General features: G+C 49.8%; 1 long non-coding RNA gene and 1 pseudogene across 1 annotated transcript in view, besides 2 other annotated features; one reads left to right on the top strand and one right to left on the bottom strand.

Moving 5' to 3' along the window:
- Positions 1–23,301, bottom strand: part of LOC105373611 (uncharacterized) — a 241,632-nt gene that overhangs the window by 176,158 nt on the left and 42,173 nt on the right. The window lies entirely within an intron of this gene.
- Positions 18,679–19,670: an enhancer, noted in NCBI's record as "H3K4me1 hESC enhancer chr2:129205981-129206972 (GRCh37/hg19 assembly coordinates)". NCBI's record gives its function as "activates a minimal SCP1, AML or CMV promoter by ChIP-STARR-seq in naive H9 embryonic stem cells {active_cell/tissue: H9 hESC(naive)}" and the evidence as "EXISTENCE:reporter gene assay evidence [ECO:0000049][PMID:30033119]".
- Positions 21,308–21,602: an enhancer, noted in NCBI's record as "tiled region #12782; K562 Activating DNase matched - State 8:EnhW". NCBI's record gives its function as "activates a minimal TATA promoter and a strong SV40 promoter by Sharpr-MPRA in K562 cells {active_cell/tissue: K562}" and the evidence as "EXISTENCE:reporter gene assay evidence [ECO:0000049][PMID:27701403]".
- RNA5SP103 (RNA, 5S ribosomal pseudogene 103) lies at positions 22,879–22,996 on the top strand (annotated as a pseudogene).

Genomic DNA, 23,301 nt, shown 5'->3' with positions numbered 1-23,301 from the left:
CATTGAGGAGACAAAGTTATTACTCAAATCAATCTCCCTGAAGGTTAGAGGTTTTCCAAAGATAGTTTAGTGGGCAGGGGACTAAGGTAGGAGGCATGCTGATTGGTTGGGTCGGAGATGAAATCATAGGGAATGGAAGCTGTCCTCTTGTGCTGAGTCGGCTGCTGGGTGGGGCCACAGGACTGGCTTGCAGGTCCAGTCACAGTCATCAGAAATGTGAAAACCTAAAAAGACATCTCAAACGGCCAAACTTAGTGACAGCAGCAGCGGCTCATCTGGAGAGGCCACTGCCATCATGCTGGTTCCAGCAGGGAGGCACAGCTGGGACTGCACACTCCACAGAGCCAGTAGGAGCCAGGGATAAGTGGGAGCCCTGCCCCTTACAAGTTGGTGGGGCGGGAGCTCCCCGGGTGCAGCTACAGCTGCCCAAGTTGTGGCTGCGAAACCAGGCCTCCCTGTGCTCTTGGAGGGACCGGGAGCAGACAGGAGCCCTGCCTTTGCCACAGCTGCAGAGCCAGGCATCTTTGCACTCTCAGGGTCCCGAGAAGGCCCCCTCCTGCCCCTGAAGGCTGAGTTGTCTGCTCCCACTGCCTGGCCTCTCCTGACTCCTGGCTCCCACTCCAATCTTCAAGTGGGGTTGGGGCCAAGCCCAGGCACTGATATAGCCCAGCTGGGTGTGCGCACACTCAGGGCAGTGCTGACACACCAACCCCCTGCTGGCTTGGCCCTCTCTGGACTTTGGGTGCCAAGAAGCATGGGAGGGAAGTTAAGGGTTGGCTGAAGGCAGCTCGGCGATGGCCTACAGGCACCCCTGGCATGAATAGCCTGGGCACTATGAATGGCAGCAGGAGGCAGAGAGGCTCCTGGGTGGATGGGGAAGGGTTCCCAGTGAGGCCCCACCTTCAGGCCAGGGAGGGCCTGAAGACTGGGGGCTGGGCTGCCAGTCCCATGGACCAGAGTGGGAACTTGTGGTGTCTTTCCTGGGCCCGCCCATGGCTACCAACAGCTGACCACAGACCAACTGGCGTGGACTTTCTCCCTTTTGAAGCCCATAAAAGCCCCAGGCTCAGCCAGAGCTGAGCAGACATTGAGACAACCATCTGCAGAGAGGAGCTACTCACTCTAGGAGTCTGCTTGCCTCCTTCTTCCTGGACACAGGACAAGAACTTGGGACCTGCTGAATGGTAGGTCTAAAAGAGTTGTAACATAAACAGGGCTAAAACATGCCTCTTGCTCACCACATTGCAGGTGAGAAGGTGAGAAGAGCTGCAGCCCTTTGGGGAGCCCAGACTAGGAGTTCCTGGAAGTAGGGCTGTGACTCCCTCTTTGGAGCCCTGTAGTTCCTGGATTCTCCAAGCTTCCAGGTGCTACTGTGTTCCCCAGTGGCAGCCGTGGAAGCTGCTTGTGGTGTGCCTGGTCCAGCCACAACCTCACAGAGAGCCAGTGCCCATGCCTGCACCCGGAGCTGCCTACCCTGCTGCAGCAGCCAGTGTGCCTGACTGGGCATGGTGGCTGGACTCCAGGCTCACTCACTTACACACCCCTTATTGCTCCATGCCTGGCTTGCCCTTGGCAGGCATGGGATCCAGGCTGGCAGCATGAGCCAAGCACAGCCTGCTAGGCCAAGTGGGTGGAATGAGCCCAGCAGGCCTGAGCAAAACTTGGGCAAAGGCATCTCCAGCTACAGAGGTTTCCAGCCAGAAAAGTGACATCCCGAAGAGCCCATAACATTTGGTTCTACAATAGTGATGTTATCTGCAAGAATAATTGGGGAAGTTGCAAGTCTTATGACCTCCAGAATAATGAACTGGTAATTATTGAAAATTCAAGCCCCTCTCATCCTCCTAACTTGATGGATTTTCATTAGTTTTACAAGAACAGTTTGGGAGAAGGGTTATTATCATTTAAACTATAAATCAAAAAAAATAAAAATAAAAAAATAAACTATAAATCAAATTCTCACAAAGTTAGCTTGGCCCACACCCACCAAGGAATGAGCAAAGACATAGAAGCAAGATGGAGTCCACCATGTCAGATTTTTCTTACTATCATACATTTGCAAAGGTGGTTTCAGCATGAGGGTGAGGAGCATCCTGAGAAGGCCAGGGCCTCAGAGCAGGAGAAAGGTCAGTCCAGAGGGCCTGAAGGCCCTGCCAGGGATGTGCACTTCATCCTGCAAGTGTAGGGGTGACATGAATCTTCTTAGAGCTACATTACGGATGGGACCAATGTGCCATTCCCCAGGGGACAGATGTGTGAGGTCCTGCTGGTATCCAGGTCATAACCTTCCCCACCCTGCAGGGCAGGGCTCCTAGAAGCCCCCTGGCACTGCACACCCCAGAGATTCATCAGGCAGCAGGACAGATGAGGTCCTGCCCTCTCAGAACCCACAGACAGGGAACAGAAGCAGCAGACTAGCTTGGGGACCATCCTGAGGGGGCAGGTGCTCTTTCTCCTGGAGTGTCCCAGAGTGGTTTCTCAAAGAAGACAGGCAGCACCCAAGCAGCTTCATGGGAAAGTGGGCATCAGGCAGAGGAACCCACAGGGGCAAAGCTGGGTGTGCAGAGTCTCAGTTCTGATGCCAGGGAAAGTGAGAGGGAGGCTGGCGGGTGAAGAAAGCCAGGGGGAGGGTGCCACTCCCATACTGCCCCACAGGGCAAACACTGAGGACAACCTGGCCCAGCCCAGGAAAACAAAGCTCCACCTGCACCCAGGCCTCTGCAGGCAGCTCCTTCCCAGCGCCCAGCACTCACACATCAGGAGGCTGGGACAATTTGGAGGAGTGGGGGCAGGAAGGGGGGCAGCAGGAGGACCCCTTCGGCATTCTGTTCTCTTTTGGTGAGGCCTTTCCTTGCTTAGACCCTAAGCATCCTCCTTTAGTGCTTCACAGATTGAATGTAAAATTCATCAGAGGCTCTCGGTAGATGCCCAGCCCCACACTAAGCCCTATAAGAGGAAAATGCACTCCCCAACCAGTTCATAACATAGTTTTCATCTCACCAGAAGGATAGGTCTCAACTCTGAAAAATTGGAAAATGCAGGAAAATACAAGGAAAATTTGAAAGTGTCTATAATCCTACTTTATTGTTGGTATTTAGGTATTTTCCTACATATACAGATATGCAAAATTATATTCAAATGGTGTTTCTGTGTTTATTTTAATCTATAGAAGCTGGATTTTCTGCCCTTCTAAGTAGCATTGTTTTTTGTTTTGTTTTGTTTATTGCAAGGTAGAGCAGTGAGGAATGGAGGCATAGCTGGCACTTTTGTGACCTTTTAGAACCCTTGGTTTGCAGGCTGATGATAGGTCAGCCTGCACAAAGACCCCTGCCTTGGGGAGGGTGTGGAACCAGACCCCCACCTCTGCTTCCTGAGAAGTGAAGTGAGGGTCACCTGTTAGGACCTATGTACTACATTATCCTAAGGAAAGGCCCTACTGGTGACCTGGAGTCAATGCCAGTGGCAGGGACCAGAGAAGCACTGCTTTGGGTCCAAACGCACCTCATCCTAGAGGGTCTCTGGGAAGTAATGCTGAGCATAGGAGATGACCCCAAAAGAGCTACCCTGTGCAGAGAAGCACCAGCAAAGGGATCTCCCCAGTAGGAGACCAGTGTCTCCATCCAACAACCAGCAGTCGGTATGGGGTGAGGATCCTCAAAACAATGATAAAAGGGATGAGACACTAGGTCTCTCTCACTCCACGTCTAATCTTGGTTTGTTTTGATTACTGTAACTTTGTAATAAGTTTTGCAATCAGAAAGTGTGACTCCTCTCACTTTGTTTTTGTTTTACTTTTTCAACATTTTTTTGGCTACCTGGGGTCCCTTGCAATTCCATATTCAAGGCTTGTTTTTTTCATTTGTGCGAAATAAGTCATTGGAATTTTGATAGAGACTGCACTGAATCAACAAATTGCTCCATGAACATGCGCTGTCTATTTAATTCAGTGTTCTAAAATTTCTTTCAGCAATGTTTTATAGTTTTCACTGTACAAGTCTTTCACATCATTGATTAAATTTAATCCCAGGTATTGTATATTTTGGATAAAATTGTAAATGAAATTGTTTTCTTAATTTCCTTTCGTATTGTTCACTGCTGGTTTATAAAATCACAACTTACTTTCATGTATTGACCTCGTATCCTACAACTTGCCTAAATGTGTTTATTGCCTCTAGTAGTTATTTGTGATTTATTTGTGATTTTCAACCTATAAAATCATGTCATCATCAAATGGAAATCGTTTCACTTCATTCTTTCCAATCTGAGTGCCTTTTCTTTCTTCATCTTGCTAACTGCTCTGTCTAGGACCTCCAGTACAAGGTTGAGTAGAAACAGTGAAAGGGGACAGCCTTGTCCTGCTCCTGATATGGGCTTTCAATCTTTGAGTATAATATTAGCTGTGGTTTTTTTCATAAATGTCTTTTATCATGTTAAGGAAGTTTTCTTCTCTTCCTAGTTTGCTTAGTGTTTTTATCATGAGAAAGTATTTAATTTTGATACTTTTTTCCTGTATCTATTGAGATGCATGTGGGGTTTTTTTCCTTCATTCTATTAATACAATATATCACACTGATTAATTTTCTTATGTTGAGCTATGCTTGCATTCTTGGAATAAACCCCACTTGATCGTGCTGGATAATACTTTTAATGTGCTGTTGGATTTGGTTGCTACTGTCTTGTTTTGTTTTGAAGATTTTCGTATCTATATTCATAAATTATATTGGTCTATAATTTCCTTGTGGTATCTTTCTCCAACTTTGGTATCAGGGCCTCGTAGAATGTGTTAGGAAGTTGTTATGAACTAAATTGTGCCCCTCAAAAATTCATATGTTGAAGCCCTACCCCCCAATCTCTCTCTCTCACTCTCTCTCTCTCACACACACACGCCCTGCATGCATACACAGAGGAAAGGCCATACGAAGGCAACCATCTGCAAGCCAGGAAAGGAGTCCTTCCCAGAAAACAATACTGCTGGCACTTTGATTTTAGACTTCCAGCCTTCAGAATCATGAGAAATAAATGTCTGTCATTGAGGCCACCCCAGTCTGTGGGATCATGTTATAAAAGCCCAAGAAGACTAGTACAAAAGTGGTCTCTCCTTTTCTGTTTTTTGGAAGATTTCGAGTAGCATTGATGTTAATTTTTCTTTAAAAGTTTGGTAGAATTTACCAGTAAGACCATTTGGTGCTGGGCTTTTTTTTAACTTTTATTTTAGGTTCAGGGGTACATGTGAAGGTTTGTTACGTAGGTAAACTCATGTCACGGGGGTTTGTTGTACAGATTATCTCATCACCTAGGTGTTAAGCAAATAGTTATCTTTTCTGTTCCTCTCCCTTCCCCCACCCTCCACCCTCAAGTAGACCCCAGTCTCTATTGTTTCCTTCTTTGTTTTCATAAGTTCTCATCATTTAGCTTCCACTTATAAGTGAGAACATGTGGTATTTGGCTTTCTGCTCAAGATAGGCCTTTATTTCTTTCTTTATTTTAGACAGGGTCTGGCTCTGTTGCTCAGGCTGGAGTGCAGTAGTGTGATCTCAGTTCACTGCAACCTGTGCCTCCTGGGCTCAAGCAATCCTCCTACCTTAGTCTCCTGAGTAGCTGGGACTACAGGTGCATGCCACCATGCCTGGCTAATGTTTGTATTTTTTGTAGAGATGGGGTTGTGCCATGTTGCCCAGGCTGGTCTCAAACTCCTGGGCTCAAGCAATCCACCTGCCTTGGCCTCCCAAAGTGCTGGGATTACAAGTTTGAGCCACTGTGCTAGGCCTGGACTTATTTTTGAAAGTTTTTTGATTACTGATTCAATCTCTTTACTCATTTTAGGTCTGAGATTTTCTATTTCATCTTGAGTCAGTTTTGGCAATTTGTGTATTTCTAGGTAGGAATGTGTTCATTTCATCTACTTTGTCAAATTAAGTGGTGTAAAATTTTCATGATATTATCTTATAATCCATTTAATTTTGATAAGGTTGGTAGAAATTTTTCTACTTTAATTTCTGATTTTAATTGTTTATGTCTTCTCTCTTATTTTCTTAGACTAGATAAAGGTTTGTCAATTTTGTTGATCACTTCAAAGAACTTGTTTTTGGGTTTGTTGATTTCTCTATTGTTCTTCTAGTCTATTTTGTTTATCTCTGCTCTAAGTTTTATTATTTCCTTCCTTCTGCTGGATTTGGATCTAGTTCTTTTATTTCTGTAGGTCCTTAAGATGTAAAGTTAGGTTAATGAGTTAAGTTTTTCTTCTTTTTTAATCTATGCATTTATGGCTATAAAATTCCCTCAGAGCACTGCTTTCACTGCATCCTATAAGTTTTGGTGTGTTGTGTTTTAGTTTTCATTCATCTCAAAGTATTTTTTTCTTAGCAATTTCTTTTTTGACACCATTTTGTTGTGTAAGAATGTGTTATTTAATTTCCACCTGTTTATGTATTTTCCAGGTTTTCTGTTGACTTCTAGCTTTATTTCTCTGGGGTTGGAGAAAATACTTTGTATGGTATCGGTCTTTTTAAATTTACTGGGAATTGTTTTATGGCCTAAATATGGTCCCTCCTAGAGAAAATTTCAAGTGCACTTCAGAAGAATATGTATTCTGCTGTTGTTGGGTACAGTATTCTTTTTTGTTTGTTTGTTTTTTGTTTTTTGAGATGGAGTCTTATCTGTTGCCAGGGCTGGAGTGCAGTGGTGCGATCTCGGCTCACTGCAACCTCTGCCTCCTGGGTTCAAGCAATTCTCCTGCCTCAGCCTCCTGAGTAGCTGTGATTACAGGCACCCACCACCACGCACAGCTAATTTTTTTGTATTTTTAGTACAGACGGAGTTTCACTATGTTGGTCAAGCTGGTCTCAAACTCCTGACCTTGTGATCCGCCCACCTCGGCCTCCCAAAGTGCTGGGATTACAGGTGTGAGCCATCATCCTTTTAACCTTCAACCTATTTGCGTCTTGGGGTCTAAAGTGTATCTATTGTAAGTAGCATATAGTTAGATCGTGTTTACTTTTAAATTTTATTTTGCAAATCACTGTCTTTTAATTGATAAGTTTAATCCATTTACATTTAAAGTGATTACTGATAATGAAGGAGTTACCTCTGTCATTTTTCTATTTTTTCCACGTATCTTACATTATTTTTTCTCAATTCCTCCAATACTGACTCATTTTGTATTGAATTGATTTCTAGTTTGCAACCTTGTTTTTCTCTTTATTTCCTTTTCTGTATTTTTTTAGTTATATAGATGAGAGGTTTCTATGTTGCTCAATCAGGCCTCGAATGCCTAGTCTCACCACCTTATGCACCAGGACAACAGGCCTGAGCCACCGCAGCTCCCTCTGTATTTTTTTAAATATATTATCTTAGTGGTTACTATAGGAGTTGCAGTTAACATCCTACATTCATAAAAATCTAGTTTGAATTGCTGCCAACTTATAATAGCTTCAATAGCATTCCTTAGCTTTATTCCTACACCGATCCATCTTTGTATTGTGTTGTCGTAAGTTGTATCTTTATAAAATACATACTTGTGTGTTCATTAACATAGATGCATAATTATTGTTTTGTTTGTCTTTTACATCATATAGGAAACAAAGAGAGATTTTACAAACCAAAAAATACGATAATACTAGTTTCTATATTTACCTACGCAGTTACTTTTGCTGGAGAGCCTTGTTTCTTTTTTTTTTTTTTTTTTTTTTTTTTGAAAATACACTACCCCATTTTGGAGGACAAAGTTTATTGCTCACCCTGGCACCAGCAGGCCACACAAGGAATGCCGGCTATCTTTCCTCCAGCTACCTGCCTCAAGACTGGGGATGGAGGATGGTAGCTGTTACATAAAATACCAAATTTTACCAGCCCTTTTCTTCATCAAGCACTTCCCTGAAGGCTGCAACTATTTGACTAAATTCCAGAGCTCCAAAATCACTAATTCTGACAGTTCTTGCCAGCTCACTAGTTGTTTGCTGGAAGGATGAATTCCTGGAGCTTTCTACCTTGTGCCATTTTCCATGACATGTAACTGGCTGTTATTCTACCATTTTGTGGATAACTGTTCATTTTTTCCATAGTTATTATTGTATCCAGGTTTTCTCTCTCTTTGGGAGTAAGTTTTGATCATTTATATTCATCTGGAAGATCACCTATTGAATTGTATTTGGCAATTTCCTAACCCTTTTTTAGTCTCCTCCACATCTGAGATACTGCCCCCCACCCTTCCAAATCCCTGTGCTTTAGGCTTTTTCCTCCCCACCATGAGGATGCAATGCTTTGGGTCATAAGGTTGGACATACAATGAAAGTTTTGTTTCTGTTTTTTTTGTTTGTTTGTTTGTTTGTTATTTAACAGAGTTTCACTCTTGTTGCCCAGGCTGGAGTGCTATGACGCAATCCTGGCTCGCTGCGACATCTGCCTCCCAGGTTCAAGTGATTCTTCTTCTCAGCCTCCCGAGTAGCTGGGATTACAGGCATGTGCCACCACACCCAGCTAATTTTTGTATTTTTAGTACAGATGGGATTTTACCATGTTGGTTAGACTAGTCTTGAACTCCTGACCTCAAGTGATCCACCTGCCTCAGCCTCCTGAAGTGCTGGGATTACAGGCGTGAACCCACCGTGACCAGCCTGTTTCTAATTATAGTTATATTTCCAACGTTTTTACAGCCTCCTTTTTATTAATTAGAGTGAATCCAAGTTTAGCTCTGAATCAATCATACTCCACTCACTTGCATTCTGGGAGAGTTTCCTGAGTGTTTGAGGAATTGAGCTCCCTGGAGGGAGTGTGGACTTACACATTAACCCGAGTCCTCCCATAGAGAACTGTTTTTCCTGTAGTGCCATCCATCATATGTATACAGGGCAAACACATTGCGGCCAGCAGCACCAGCTAGTGATTTATTTATTTTGTTGAGGGTTTCCAAAGAACCAACTCTGGTATTTATTTGTGATTTGGGGTTTTTAATTCATTAACTTCTATCTATCAATCCCTTTGTCTTGCTTTCCTTGTATTTACTTTATTCTTCTCTTATTAACTTGAATTGAAAACTTGCCTTATCTATTTTTCTTCTGTTCTTCATAACATTGAAAAGCATTTAAGGTCATGAATTTGCTTCATTATAACTTTGACAGTTCTCCTAGCTCTTGATATATAGGGTTTTCACGTTCCTGTTTTCTCACTATTTTGCAATTGCAGTTTTAAATTCCTCTTTGATTCAAAAGTTACTTAGAAAACAGTTGCAATGTTTTTATGTTTATGTTTAATTTTCACATGGATGGAGATTTTTGGTTTCTCTTTTGTTGTTAATCTCCATTTTTGCTGTACTAGGTCAAAGCACTGACCTGTACAATTTCTATTAGGGGAAATTTACTAGAATTTTTTTTCTTACTTTGTTGCCTAATGAATGCAATATTTCTGTAAGTGTCCCATGGGCACTGGAGAAGAACTGGGCTTCTCAGCCTTAAGGGCACAGTTTGATATGTAAACTATTAAGTCATCTTACTGATTACATTACTCAGAATCCCCACGTTCTTATTGACTTCTCAGGCCCTTAGGGAGTTATGTTATGGTTTTCCACTCTTACTGCGTATCTTTCAGGTTTTCCTTATGTTCATGGGTGCAGTTGGAGGGGGATGATATCAACCTAGGGCCCAATATTGCTCTGGAATCCTGTTGTTTAGGGCAGATAAGCACAACTGACAAATGTCCCTGAGCAAAGGAGAAACAGCACATCCAGTGACAGTGGCATGTGAGGGGATTTCCCAGATTCCAGGGCTTTGGACAAGCCCCTATAGAAACTACCTGGGGAGTTGCACAGAAATATGACACCAAGTGAAGGAATGTGAAATTATACCCAGCCCCTACTTAAAATCATACCCACCTTCCCCCAAGTCTGCCCCTTTATAGCTTTAGCTCCTCTGTCCCCTTCTTAGAAGGGCACTAATCCCAGGATATACATACAAGAATGACCATAGTGGAAATACCCATATTAGCCAAATATTGGACACAATGCATACGGCCATCAAAAGTAGAATGGGTAGAGTATATTCACACATCAGAGCCCCATAGAGCAAAATACAGAAGCAGCAGCACATACAACACGAATAGGCAGGCATGTGGCAGACCCACAGCACCCTGAGCCCCGGCCTCCACTGGGACTGTCTTAGTGGGCTGCGATGCCATAACAAAATTCCACAGACCAGGTGGCTTAAACAACAGACACATTTCTCACCATACTGCAGGCTGGAAGTCCGAGATCAGGCTGCCAGCCTGATTGGGCTCTGGTGAGGAGGGCCCTTTTCCTGGCTTGCAGATGGCTGCCTTCTCATTGAATCCTCACATGGCAGAGAGAGAAAGAGACAGACAGAGAGAAAACTCTCTGGAGGCTCTTCTTAGACGGGCACTAATCCCAGCATGAAGGCCTCACCCTCATGGATTTCCTTTAACCTTAAGTACCTACCAAAGGACCCACTGCCAAATAGCATCACATTGGGAATCAGGGTTTCAACTCATGAATTTGGGGGGACACAATTCAGCCCCTAGCAGTAACTCCAGGGACATCCCCTGCACTGGGCCTGGACAAGCACCCATTGTGTCTAGACCCTCAGCTAAAGGACCTGCTGCCCCCTAGCTCCTGGTCAGCACAGGCTCAGTCATCACTTGGGTTGGTCTGCGCGTGGTGATGAGAACTCTGCATGCTCATCCAGCCTGGCCAGCATGCGGGAAAGGTTTCTGGTGGGCATTCCTCAGAGCAGAAGCAGGCAGCAGCAGGCAGGAGGCAGAAGAAGGGACAGCACAAGCAAGCCAGGGGGTGTGCATGATGGGGGGATTGGGCAGGGCCATAGTGTGAAGCACAGGTCAGGAGGGGCAGGAGATGGGACTAGAACTGTAGTCTGAGACCTGGAGGCTGTGAGCACCAACCGGCAGCCTCCATCTCCATCCATGCTCAGCAAGAGGGAGGCACCCTGGAGGGTTTATGTGGGGTGGCCTGGTGGGGCCTGTGTAGGCAGTATCCCCAGCCCTAAGATGAGGCTGACAAGTTCTGGGCCCACAGGGCTCAGGCTGGGGTATGGGACAGCAGCAGTTGGAGTTCATGGTGGAAGCAGAGAGGAAGAATGGATTTGAGAAGGACTGAGAGCTTTTTTTTTTTAGATGGAGTCTTGCTCTGTCACCAGGCTGGAGTGCTGTGGCATGATCTCATCTCACTGCAACCTCCGCCTCCCGGGTTCAAAGGATTCCCCTGCCTCAGCTTCCCGAGTAGCTGGGACTACAGGTGCGTGCCACCATGCCCAGCTAATTTTTTGTATTTTTAGTAGAGACTGGGTTTCATCGTGTTGGCCAGGATGGTCTTGATCTCCTGACCTCGTGATTCACCCACCTCGGCCTCCCAAAGTGCTGGGATTATAGGTGTGAGCCACCACAACCTGCCAGGACTGAGAGATTTATTGTTGGTTGGGCAGAGTGGGAAGGAGTGAGAGGCAACTGGTGGGGAGTCACGCATCAAGCTAGTGAGCAAGAAGTGGGATGCCAGTTGGGAGGGACAGAACACAGGAGAAGGGGAGGCAGGGGGATGAGGGTCAGTGTGTTCTGGGACTTGTTGAGTTTGATGAGCCAGTGGGAATTTGTCATGTGAGACCCCTATTAACCTCGACAGGGCTGGCACCAGGGTCATGAGGCCAAATAAGAGACCCACAGCCAGCAAAGGAGACATGGGGTTTCTTGAGGGGAACTTCCATACAGGGCAGTCCAGCGGCAGCGGGCTGGACAGGAGAACTGCCACTGTTTGTAAAACGCATGCAGTTTATATAGCATTTTCACTTAGCACCCTTCCCCAACAACCCCCGCCTAGTAACCTTCATTTCACCCAAAGCAAAGGGTCTGGATCCCCTGTAAGGTCTGTGTTCCACAGGACGGGACAGGGTCTTAGATGTTTCTCATAGATAAGGAATGAATCTCTGGGTTGGCCAATCCCGAACTCATTAGCTCTGAACTCCCAACACACATTCAGGTGCATCTGCCATACACGGTCATTCTCAGGGTATGCTCAAGTTATTGCTATCGGGCACATCTGCCCTACAGAATTCCAGCAGAAATACCCAGTGGGAGTGGTGGATCTGGAAACAGGAATGTGGGCAGAGCTGAAGCTGCTCTCCTGGGGGAGGGCTGCTATTGCTGTGTGGGTGTGCCTGAGAAGAGTAGTAGGGGAGGACACAGCCCACCAGCAGGTCAAGGTGGGCAGGGAGTTAAGGTCCAGTGGGAAGGAGTGCAGGGATCAGGAAGTGGCCAGCCAGAAGACATGAGATGGGAGAAGCTACATGTGAGGATTCTGATGCAGGGCATGCATGGAGCCCCACAGGATGACATCAGATCTGTCCACGGCTCCACAGCATTTCCTGACTGCCTCCATCTACCCTGCAGACCCACCTGCCCTGGGGTTTCCTTTGGATCTGGCTGACCAGATGCCCTTGTGGGAGCCTGGAGGCTGGAGGAGAGTGGATGGTGAGACCCAGGCCTCCAGCTCTCACCCTGCCAGGCCACAGTGGTCAGGGCTATCAGGTTCTAAGCCCAAACTGAGGTCCAAGGGGAGTTGGTGGGCAGGTGGCGGGTAGCTGGAAAACACACTCGAGGAATCATAGGCAGTTTCGACATGGCTTTATTCTCTCTCTGGGCGTGAGCCATACGTACAGCGCCAGCAGTACATTTTACAGACAATAGCAGCTCCGGGCCAACCACGAGCTCGTGTGAGTGGTCACTTAATGCATCTCACATGGCATGGTTATATAATGTGTGGAGTTGTACACCTTCACTCCAAACCCACTGAGTCATGCTGTGCCAGAGGGCCACCTCGACCTACTCCTGACTGAAGTGCAGCCATTTCCCTTACAAGAGCTGTGCCCTCTAACTGAAGCCCTGACTTCTCTGAGCTGCTCTTCCTACAACCAGAGCTTCCCCTGGGTTCTGGTTCAGCCCCTGGCTGGTTCCACAGCATGCCTGCAGGTCCCTCCACGCTGCCCTGCTGTCCTCAACAGTCCCCTCATCAACCCCTCCCCAGCACCCAGGTTGAGTGTGCCCTCTGTTTCCTGCTGGAACTCTTTCCAGTACATCACTTTCATGCCAAGCTATCTCAGAGAAGGCTCTTTCATTTGCAAGGGAGAAAAGTATGCCTAAGCCACTGTGTCAGGGGCTCTAAGATCACTCTCAGGCTTGACGATTCTCTAGAAGGGCTCACAGGACTCAGAAAAAGGTGTCATAATCACATTTATGGTTTATCTCAGTGAAAGGATATGGATTCAACCAGCAGAAGGAAAGGGCACATGAGTGATATCCAAGAGACTGCAGGTGTGAGCTTCCAGGTGTCCCCTCTCAGTGGAGTGTGACATGTTTTCTTGGTTCAGGGATATACTATTATACTCCCAGCAATGATGTGTGACAACCTTTGTGAAGTGTTCCCAACAGGGAAGCTCACCCAAGCCTTTGTGTCCAGAGGTTTTATTGGAGGACAGTCACATAAGCACACAGCTTCTGCATGACTGACCTCAACTACTCAGACTCCAGCCTGCCCCTAAGCAAAAGCAGGGGTTCACCATACAGCACATTGTCAGGATAAACTTACCTAGTCAAACTGGCACAGCTGACCCAAAGCCTCAGGCATGCAAAAACACTTAGAAGCAGAATATTCTAAGATGTCACAGGTAATCTTCCAGGAGTAGGCAAGGACCAGTCCTGAAAACAGACCTTTATTTGGGAAGTGCAGGATTTCAGCAACTCAAGCCTCCTGAGTTACCTCTTTCCTGCCTAGTATCAAAGCAGACTATTATAAGGACTGCCCAGGGACTAGACAGGGCTAATGGCTGGGGAAGCAGAACACAGCAGAGAAGGCATCAGCCACCAGGTTTCCCTCCCCTCTCTTGCAGGGGCCACCTGGTCTCTCTTTCCTACTTCTTCCTGCTCTCTACTTTCTTGTCTTCCCTCCTCTTCTCCTCCCCTCTTCTCTCCTCCGCACCCTACCCTTTCCTTCTCTCTCTGTCTCTGTCTCTCTCCCTCTTCCTCTCTCTTTCCTTCCCTTCCTCCCGCTAAATACCAGCATCCTCCTCTTCTTACAGGCACAGGAGCCAAAGGGGGCTGCCCCAGCCCACCTGCCCTACATGTTCTCTTGGTTCAGGTACAACTGCAGTTGTCTGAGGCTAAAAGAAAAACAAACTGGTTTTTTCTATACACACAACAATTCCGAGAGCAAGTGTGTGGAGGTTTTTTTCCACACCAACCAATTTTCCAATTCTCTGTGGACACCAACTGGGTGTCCTACAATTTAACTCAATTCTGGCACTAACTGCCCAGAGTTAGCACAGATCCCACAGGCTCAGGGCCATAAGACTTCCCCAGACTTCAGATGCCAGTTGCAAGCCCCAGGTTGTCACCTGTGCTTCTGACCAACCAGAAATAAATCAAAGGTTTCTTAAACCCCCTCCTTATGTTCAATAATTTACTGGAACAGCTCACAGAACTCAGGAAAATGGTTTATTGTTTATTATACTGTTTACCTACCGATTTATTACAAAGGATAGAACTCAGGAACAGCCAATAGAAGCAATGCACAGGACAAGCTATGGGGGCCTCTCATGAACCCAGAAGCTGTCCAAATCCCATCACGTGGGGGTTTCACAGAGGCTCAATGACGTAGTTGCGACTGATTAAATCACTAGCCACGAGACTGAACTTGATCCCCAGCCCCTCTTCCCTGCCAGCAGGTGGGGGATAGGCTGAAATTTCCAACCCTCTAATCACACAGCTGGTCCAGCCCCATCCTCCAAGAGTCATCTCACTGGCATAAATTCAGGTGTGGTTGGAAGGGTCTTGCTGTGAGTAACAGAAGATGCTCCTCTCACCCTCATCACTCAGAGAATGCCAAGGGTATTAGGAGCTCTGTGCCAGGAGCCAGGGACTAAGACCACATATGTATTTCTTATGATGTCACAACATCGCAGATGCCCAATTCCAAATGACCGGGAGGAACCTGAGGGGACCACTGGGGTCAGATGCCCACACCTGGTCCAGCCAGCCACGTCAGAGAAGGGAGTGTAGAGAAAGGTCGTGTGGAATGGGGACGCTCCCCAAAGCACGTCTACTCAACAGGCACAGTGCTTGGCACCAGCAATGAACAGAGAGACCCAGGAGCTCACAGAACTGTACGGGAGGAGCGGAGAGGCCGAGCCGCCCATGCCAGCTAGAGAAGTCATCAGCTAGCACCCTGGCGCTGCAGGAGACTGGAAACCAGCTAAGATGAGCTCAGGCAAAAATGATATGGCCTCACTGCCCTGAGGGGCACTTTGGTCCGATGCTGTTCCCAAGGCTCCTTGGTGGACATAACTGGTCCTGGGGTAAGGGGCAGGTAATCTTGAGCAGGAGCACAGGTGGTGCCGTAAAGAAAGGGACCCAGATGCCAAGCTGCGGGCTTTTTATCCCGCATTATTAGGACCCTTTTAACAGAGAAGTAAGGATCACAGAATGAAAAGGACAACAAAGACCTCCACGAGGGCCATCAGCTTTAAAGAAGAAGTAGGCTGGTGGGTAATGGAGGCTGGTATGTAATGGAGGCTGGTGGGTAATGGAGACTGGCAGGTAATAAAGGCTAGTATGTAATAGAGGCTGGTGGATAATAGAAGCTGGTGGGTAATGGAGACTGGTGGGTAATGGAAGCTGGTAGGTCATGGAGGCTGGCGGGTAATGGAGGCTGGGGGGTAATGGAGGCTGGTAGGTCATGGAGGCTGCTGGGTAATAGAGGCTGATGGGTAATGGAGGCTGATGGGTAACAGAGGTTGGTGAGTAATGGAGGTTGGTGAGTAATGGAGGCTGATGGGTAATGGAGGCTGGTAGGTCATGGAGGCTGCTGGGTAATAGAGGCTGGTGGGTAATGGAGGCTGATGGGTAATGGAGGCTGGTGGGTAACAGAGGTTGGTGAGTAATGGAGGTTGCTGAGTAATGGAGGCTGATGGGTAATGGAGTCTGGTAGGTCATGGAGGCTGGTAGGTTATGGAGGCTGGTGGGTAATGGAGGCTGGTGGGTAACAAAGGCTGGTATGTAATGGACGCTGATGGACTGAGGATCTGTGGGAGGCTGAGTGGGGTGAGGCTGAAGCCACCAAGCAGCTGCTTTGGACTGAGTGCAGCAACAGTGCAGAAGTGACTGCGCTTGGACCGGCCACTGGGCAGGTGAGAGACAGTGTGCGAGAAGTGAGGGGAACAGGCTGGACAAGCCACCATCAGGCTACATAGGACCCATGCTCAGCGGTGACACTATGTGGTGGGGTCAGGCAGCCACAGAGGAAATGGGACTAAGTTCTTAAGTGGAGTAAGACCCAGGACAGCCAAAGGGCGGGGAGGCCTCACCCGGAGGGAGAGGGGCTGGAAATCCTCCTAAATAAGGTGGGGGAGGTTCAAGCCCTTAGCTGGAAAAATAAAAAATAAGAACACATATCTGCATGCAGCTGGGGAAGGGGGCAAGGGGCTCACCCACCTAAACACCAGGCACAGAACGCACCTGCCTCCTTGCCCCTCCTGCCCTCCACTTCTAAAACCCAGACTCAAGACTCATCCTGGTTACTCTCACAACAAGGTGACGCTGGGACTGGATCAAAGGCTATTTCTTCCAAGGAAATGTATTGCTGAACACACCGAAACCAAAGCACAGAACATCTCAGGGTAACATTCTGGACTTAGGAAACAGGAGCCCTGTTAAGGCCGGAGGGCCCTTCCTGCTGCCACTACCAGAAGTTGGGCTGGCCCCAACCCAGACACAGGGTCACAAATGTAAATATGTCCAGAGCACTTTCCAACATCATGGTGCCACCGGCTCCCAGAAGGCTTCTAGGGCACTGACCCAGCCCCTCCAGCAGGGACACTGGGGCCCCCAGAAACCGGTGTGGCCCTCGCACACATCTCCAGCACAGTCCTTCTTACCCATCCCCCAGGCGAGGCACTTAACCCCCCTGAGCTGCTGTTTATCCATCAGTAAAATGGATAGAATAATATCAATCTCACCAGGGTGTTATTTAGATTTATTTATTAATGCTGGCAATATACTCAGAGCCCTCAAGATTAAAGCAATAGATCATCAGGAAATATTATGGCATCCTGTTGCCATAGCGATGGTTCCATTCTTCCGGCTCCTCCTCGAGCCCTGCTGCAGCATCAGGCTCAGAGGGTCTGGGGAGCAGAGCTGCACCAACCAGGGCATTAACACTAACAACAGTGATAATTAAATTACACAGAGAGGAAGCCCATGAAATATGTATGGGAGAGAAATGGATTTGATTCATTTAGGCAAATGGGCATGTTTTCCCATTAGAAATGGCTCCCTGGAGCCTGTGGCTAGCTCTCTGCAGCACTCATTTCTTTAGATAAAGCAGGGGATTAGGGGGTTCTGGAAGACGCCTAAGTCAGGGGCGGAAGTGGGGCAGAGATCCAAATTCTGTGCAACCTTCCTGAAAACACAGCCGCTGCCCCAGGCCCAGGGGGGCAGGGTTCTTATTGCAGAAGGACCCTGAGTCTGGCCCTCACCCAGCACTCATGAGCAGCTTCCGCAACTCCCTAGCTGTCTCTTCTGTAAAACGGGGTGACACTGGGAGTGACCTGGGATTGTTGTGATAACTCAAGGAAAGAGGTAGTGGCTCCTCCAGTGGTGACCCCTGAAGGAGTGGGGCCCTCTGTGCTGAGGAGATGCCTGGTCTCAGAGCCGAGGCGGGAACGCTGTCTGCCTGCCATTGGCCATCCAACGCACCATCCAGCGAGAGCATACAGCAGCCTTATGACGCAGAGGCATCAAAGAGACCCATGAAGCAGAGGCATCAAAGCTAGGTGCATCTCCCAGTCTTCTTCATCCATTCCTTTTCCTCACCCTCCCAGGCTAGCCCAGCCCAGGCCACACTTCTGGGTGGCCATGTCCACCCTGAGTGGCCCTGCCTCTGTAGAGGCCTTAGTGACAGGGACCCAGCCTCGTCTGCCTGCTCTCTTCCTGTTTAGGATGGGGTGAGCCTCAGCCACCACTTTCTGATCCCAGAGACAGATGTCACTGTCCTGTTGGGAGCTGCTGCAGCTTTGGCCAGGAGCCGGAAGTAAGCCTGATGCCAGAGGCCTGGGCCTCTGAAGGGAAGGGCTGGGAGCCAGACACACGCGGGGCTTCGGAGTTGCGGTATATCCCCACCAGCACTGGGAAGACAGCGCCACAGCCCCACTAAGCCTGCCCTCTATAGACGGCCTTCCCTGAGATGGCTCAGTTCAGACCGGGAGGGTCAGGCTAGGAGCACGGGGCCCAGGCCCACTCCCGGAGGCTTCTCTCTCCAGCAAGGCCACCACCCACTGCTCCTCCACTCACGCAACTGGGAAGGGCTGGCTGTGCCTTGGGCCCACCGCCCTCCTTTCTTGGTTACAGTCTACTTGCAGAGGCTCCACCATCCAAAAAGATCTCGGGAAAGGCCCCTCCAGCACATGTGGTTCATGCCGTGGAGTGAATTCGAATCCCCATGGTAACTGCGAGAACAAGCAGTGCTCAGTGTGCACTCTACCCCAAGACAGCCCCTGAGGCCGTACTGTTACCACGCCCGCTTTACAGGTGAAGAAACTGAGGCTCAGTGAGCCAGTCACCACCCACAGTCAGAGGGCATCAGCCAGACAGGACTCAGATCCAGCTCGGGCCCCTCTCCCAGGAAGATTCGTGTTCATCACTGACAGAGGACTCCGTCCTTTGGTAAATCCCAGGCCCATGCTTGTGTGTGCCGGGGTGGGCACCCTGACTTAGTCCCTTGCTGCATCCCTCAACTGTTCAGCCCAGGCAACGTCCCTGACCCCTCAGGGGTTTTACAGGTCCTCTGCCATCTGCGTGTACCTGTAATGACCAGGGGGAAACAGCTCTTGAGGACAGAGACAACATGCCAGCACACAGCTCCTAAGGAGCCTGGGTCTCATTGACCTACACAGCAGCCAGGCCCATGAATACCCACCCACGTGGCCAGGGAAGGTTGGGGGTGCCTCCCTAAGGGGCCAACTGGGCTACTGCCAAGCAGCTGTCTGAGGTTGCCAAGGGGCACCCTGACCCGGGAAGTCACTGTCTGGGTCTGGTTCTCACATCATCCTGGGTGGCTTCCAACTCTTCTCATGGCTGGGGCCCCCTCCAGACCAGGAGCTTCTCACAGGCAGGGACAGAGCCTGATTCACCTGGGGCCTGAGCCTCCCACCTGCACTCCCTGCAGGGGTGGAACCAGCTCTCTGATTCCAAGGCCCAGCCTCTCTCTTCCCACCTCATGAAGGCTCAAAAGGACTGACAGCCCCCTTCCACTAAGGCCCTCGGCCCAGACCCCTCTCCTGTTGCTCAGGGTTAGTGAGCAGAAATGGCCATGGCTTTGCTCTCAGACATTCTAGCCACTCAGCAGCACCCCTCACCCTTGCCACTGGCCAGGCACTGTTCTGGGCATGGAAGAGACTGGGGGAACAAAGCAAATCGAAACCCCAGCCCTGGCGATGCTCACATTCTGGCGAGGGAAAGAAAAGACACCCATCTCCGTGGGACATCACTGAGCACTGTGGCGAGAGGATACGGCAGGGCAGGGGGCAGTGCTGGGGTGACAGGGAGGAGGCAGCACGTGCCAAGGCCCTGTGGCGCAGCCTGCCTGAAGTGTCCAGGTAAACGAAGAGCACCTGGGCTGAGCTCCTGGGGCCCTGGTGGGGGCCTAATACCTGCCAGGTCCTTCATAGCCACCATATCCCTGGAGCCCCACAGCCATCTGACAAGAGTTAGCCCTGTTTTGCTGTTCAGGAAACTGAGGCCCAGAGATCTTCGATGGCTTTCTAAAGGTCACCCACAGTGTATGATTTGATCCTAGTCTGCGTGGCTCCAAAGCCTGTGTGTGTCCACCTGCCCCCACCGAAACGCTGTGGGTCCCGCCCCCCACCTGCCCCCACCATAATGCTGTGGGTCCCGCCCACCACCTGCCCCCACTGTAACGCTGTGGGTCCCGCCCCCCACCTGCCCCCACCATAATGCTGTGGGTCCCGCCCCCCACCTGCCCCCACTGTAACGCTGTGGGTCCCACCACCCACCTGCCCCCACCATAGCTCTGTGGGTCCCACTTCCCCACCTGCCCCCACCATAATGCTGTGGGTCCCGCCCCCCACCTGCCCCCACTGTAACGCAGTGGGTCCTGCCCCCCCACCTACCCCAACCATAATGCTGTGGGTCCCGCCCCCCAACACCTGCCCCCACCATAATACTGTGGGTCCTGCTCCCCACCTGTTCCCGCCATACCACTGTGAGTCCCGCCCCCCTTCCTGCCCCCATTGTAACGCTGTGGGGTCCTGCCCCACACCTGCCCCCACCATAATACTGTGGGTCCTGCTTCCCACCTGCTCCTGCCATAAAGCTATGGGGCTGGCTCCCCAGCACCTTGCCCAGGCCCAGGTGTCGATGTTCCTCCCAAGGAATGATTGGGTGGATGAATGAACACTGAGATGTACCTGGGTGTGGTGGCCTCCTGAGCCCTGCTGACAGGGGAGATGGTCTGCCTGGACAGGGGACTGGCCAGGGCTGTCTTCAGAGCAGGCGGCACCACCCACGGGGGCCATGGCTGGGAATGTGTCCACTGCTGCTGGGCAGCCCCAGCCAAGCCCAAGGGAGGCAGAACAGTGGCCTCCGGTCAGTGTCCCTTTGCCCAGCTCCAGACCCAGGGCAGGCATTGTGGGTGATCAGCAGGGGCCATACCCCACCCAAAGTTGCCTCCCCACACCTGGACTGACGGCCCCTGGAGGGTGGTAGCAGAGAAAGACACTGGGACCCCCGGGTGCTCCTGTCCCTCTCTCCAGCCTCCCCATCTCCTGCCTTCACCCTGAGAGTCCCAGCCACACTGGGCTCCCACTGATTTCCTGCAGGGAGCCACCTGGCCAGGGGCCGGGCATGGTGTCTCTCCACCTAGAAGGTTCTACATGGCCACTCCTGAGACTCATCTCAGACACTGGCTTCCCCAGGCGGCCTCCCCGACCCCAGGGCTCTGTCAGACCCCTCTGGGCTTCCCCTTTCAACATCCGGCCCACGATGGGGTGGCTGCTTGTCGGGGCTGCAAGGCTCACTGCAGATCTTGCCCCGGGAACAATCCCAGACAGCTCATCCTGCCGCCCTCTGTCTCCAGAAAGCATCTGGGGATGGAACCGAGCCGCCTCTGCTCGTCTCCGGCAACATGTTGGTTTTTTCTGAGAGTGCTGCAAATCCATTTCCCTGACAGTGATGGGAATGGGTATTGTCAGTGGTGGGAGAGCACATTATGAATGATTCCACTTGAGTCCATTTTTAAAAGGAGGAAATCAATATGTGCTTCCCGGCAGCGTCCGCTCCCCTCCCTTGACCTCTCTGCTCAGCCACCAGCTGCTCCCTGCCACCACCCTCTCTCCTCCTTCCTTCCCAGAAGGGGACAGCCCTTTCTGGGAACTGCCACCAAAGCCTCAGGGAAATTGAGCTTCTCTTCCGGGGAAACTGCTGGGTGCTGGCTGAGGCACCCATGCCGGCCCGAGGGTGGAAGCAGCAGATCTCCAAGAGGTTCTGTGCTGGAGGAACTCCCAGGACTCTACATGCATGAGCCTTGCCTGCCTTGCGTTGGCCCTAACCAGCATTCACACACGTTGTCTGCAAAACTCATGGGAACACCAAGATGGCAGGCCTAGGATCTGCCCTAGGATCCAACTGAGGGGCAAGGAAACAACCTCAGAGGTGAGGCAACACCCACAGACACACAGCTAAAAGGTGGCAAAATCTGGATGCTGAGCCAGGGCTGCAGCTGACAGCTCCAGGAACCAGTCCTAGGGCCACACCACCCACATTCAAATCCAGTTCCATCACCTACCAGCTGTGTGACCCTGGACAAGTCAATGTTTGCAAACCTCCATGCACTCACCTTTAGAACAAGACAAGGCTGGCCAGGCGTGGTAGCTCACCACTGTAATCCCTGAACACTTTGGGAGGCTGAGGAGGGTGGATCACTTGAGGTCAGGAGTTCGAGACCAGCCTGGCCAACATGGTGAAACCCCATCTCTACTAAAAATACAAAAATTAGCCGGGTGTGCTGGCACATGCCAGTAATCCCAGCTACTCGGGAGGCTGAGGCAGGAGAATCACCTGAACCTCGGAGGTGGAGGTTGCAGTGAGCCGAGATCACACCACTGCACTCCAGCCCAAGCTCAGAATGGGACTCCATCTCAAAAAAAAAAAAAAAAAAGAACGAGACAAGGCTAATATAACCTACATGCAGCAATGTGAGCCCGCCCAGAAAGGACCTAGCCAGCACCAGCCCCTGTTTCTTCCCCTGGCTGGTCTCCCAGGGAACTCAGTGTGCTCTTCAGAGAAGGCTGCAAACTTTGTTCAAAGGCTTCCAGGGGCCGACTCAGCTACGCCCCTGCCAGGAAGCCTGCAGCCTCAATGATAGCAGCAGGATGGTCTTCTTGGCCTCAGGCTAAGGTTGAAAATGAGTGTTTAATAAAAATTCTCTATATTAACTCTCCCTCACCCCAAAGTTGGGCCATTGTTTTTCTGTTCTGCTTTAGAAGCATTTCCACAAATCCAGTCTCTGGAAGCAATGTGACTCAACAAAGAAGATACCAACAAGACAAGCAATCGCCTCCCAGCTGTGGCACCAACCAACTGGCTCTGTGACCTAAGACTCCATCCTTCCCGCTCTGGGCCTCAATTTCCCCTTCTGTAAAGGGTTGCACCACATGAATCACCAGGGCTCCTCTAGCCAGGAGCAGCTCCTTCGTTCTGAACAAGAGGCATTTTCCACAGGGCCTGTGTCAGTCGGTATCAGCTTTCCTGCCCTGAGACAGTCAACAACCTCACTATAGTGACTTAATCAGAGATACAGTCTGTGCCATACCATCCTGAACATGCCTGATCTCGTGTGATCTCAGAAGCTAAACAGGGTTGTGCCTGATTAGTATTTGGATGGGAGACCACCCGGGAATACTGGGTGCTGTAGGCTTTTGTAAAAAATAAAAATAGAAAAGAAATCAGAGATGCAGCATTGATCACACTGAATCCCACGAGAAGGGTAGGGCTCCCCTACATGTTCCCTCATGCCAAGGCTAGAGTTTGGGGTCTCCCCTCTGGAATTTGGCTGATTAGTAGAAGAGGCAGAAAGAATTTTGAGAGGCCTCACATTAGAAATTAAGTGCCCAGCCTGGAGGCCACTCTCGACTCATCACTTCGTTACCATCGAAGCCAGAACCAGTTACTCTGCCCCAGCCAACCACAGGGAAACCAGGATGGGTCCCCTTCCACATCCCC

The sequence above is a fragment of the Homo sapiens genome, chromosome 2 (assembly GCF_000001405.40).
Source record: "Homo sapiens chromosome 2, GRCh38.p14 Primary Assembly".
NCBI lineage: Eukaryota > Metazoa > Chordata > Mammalia > Primates > Hominidae > Homo > Homo sapiens.
This window is presented reverse-complemented; position numbering and strand designations above follow the sequence as displayed.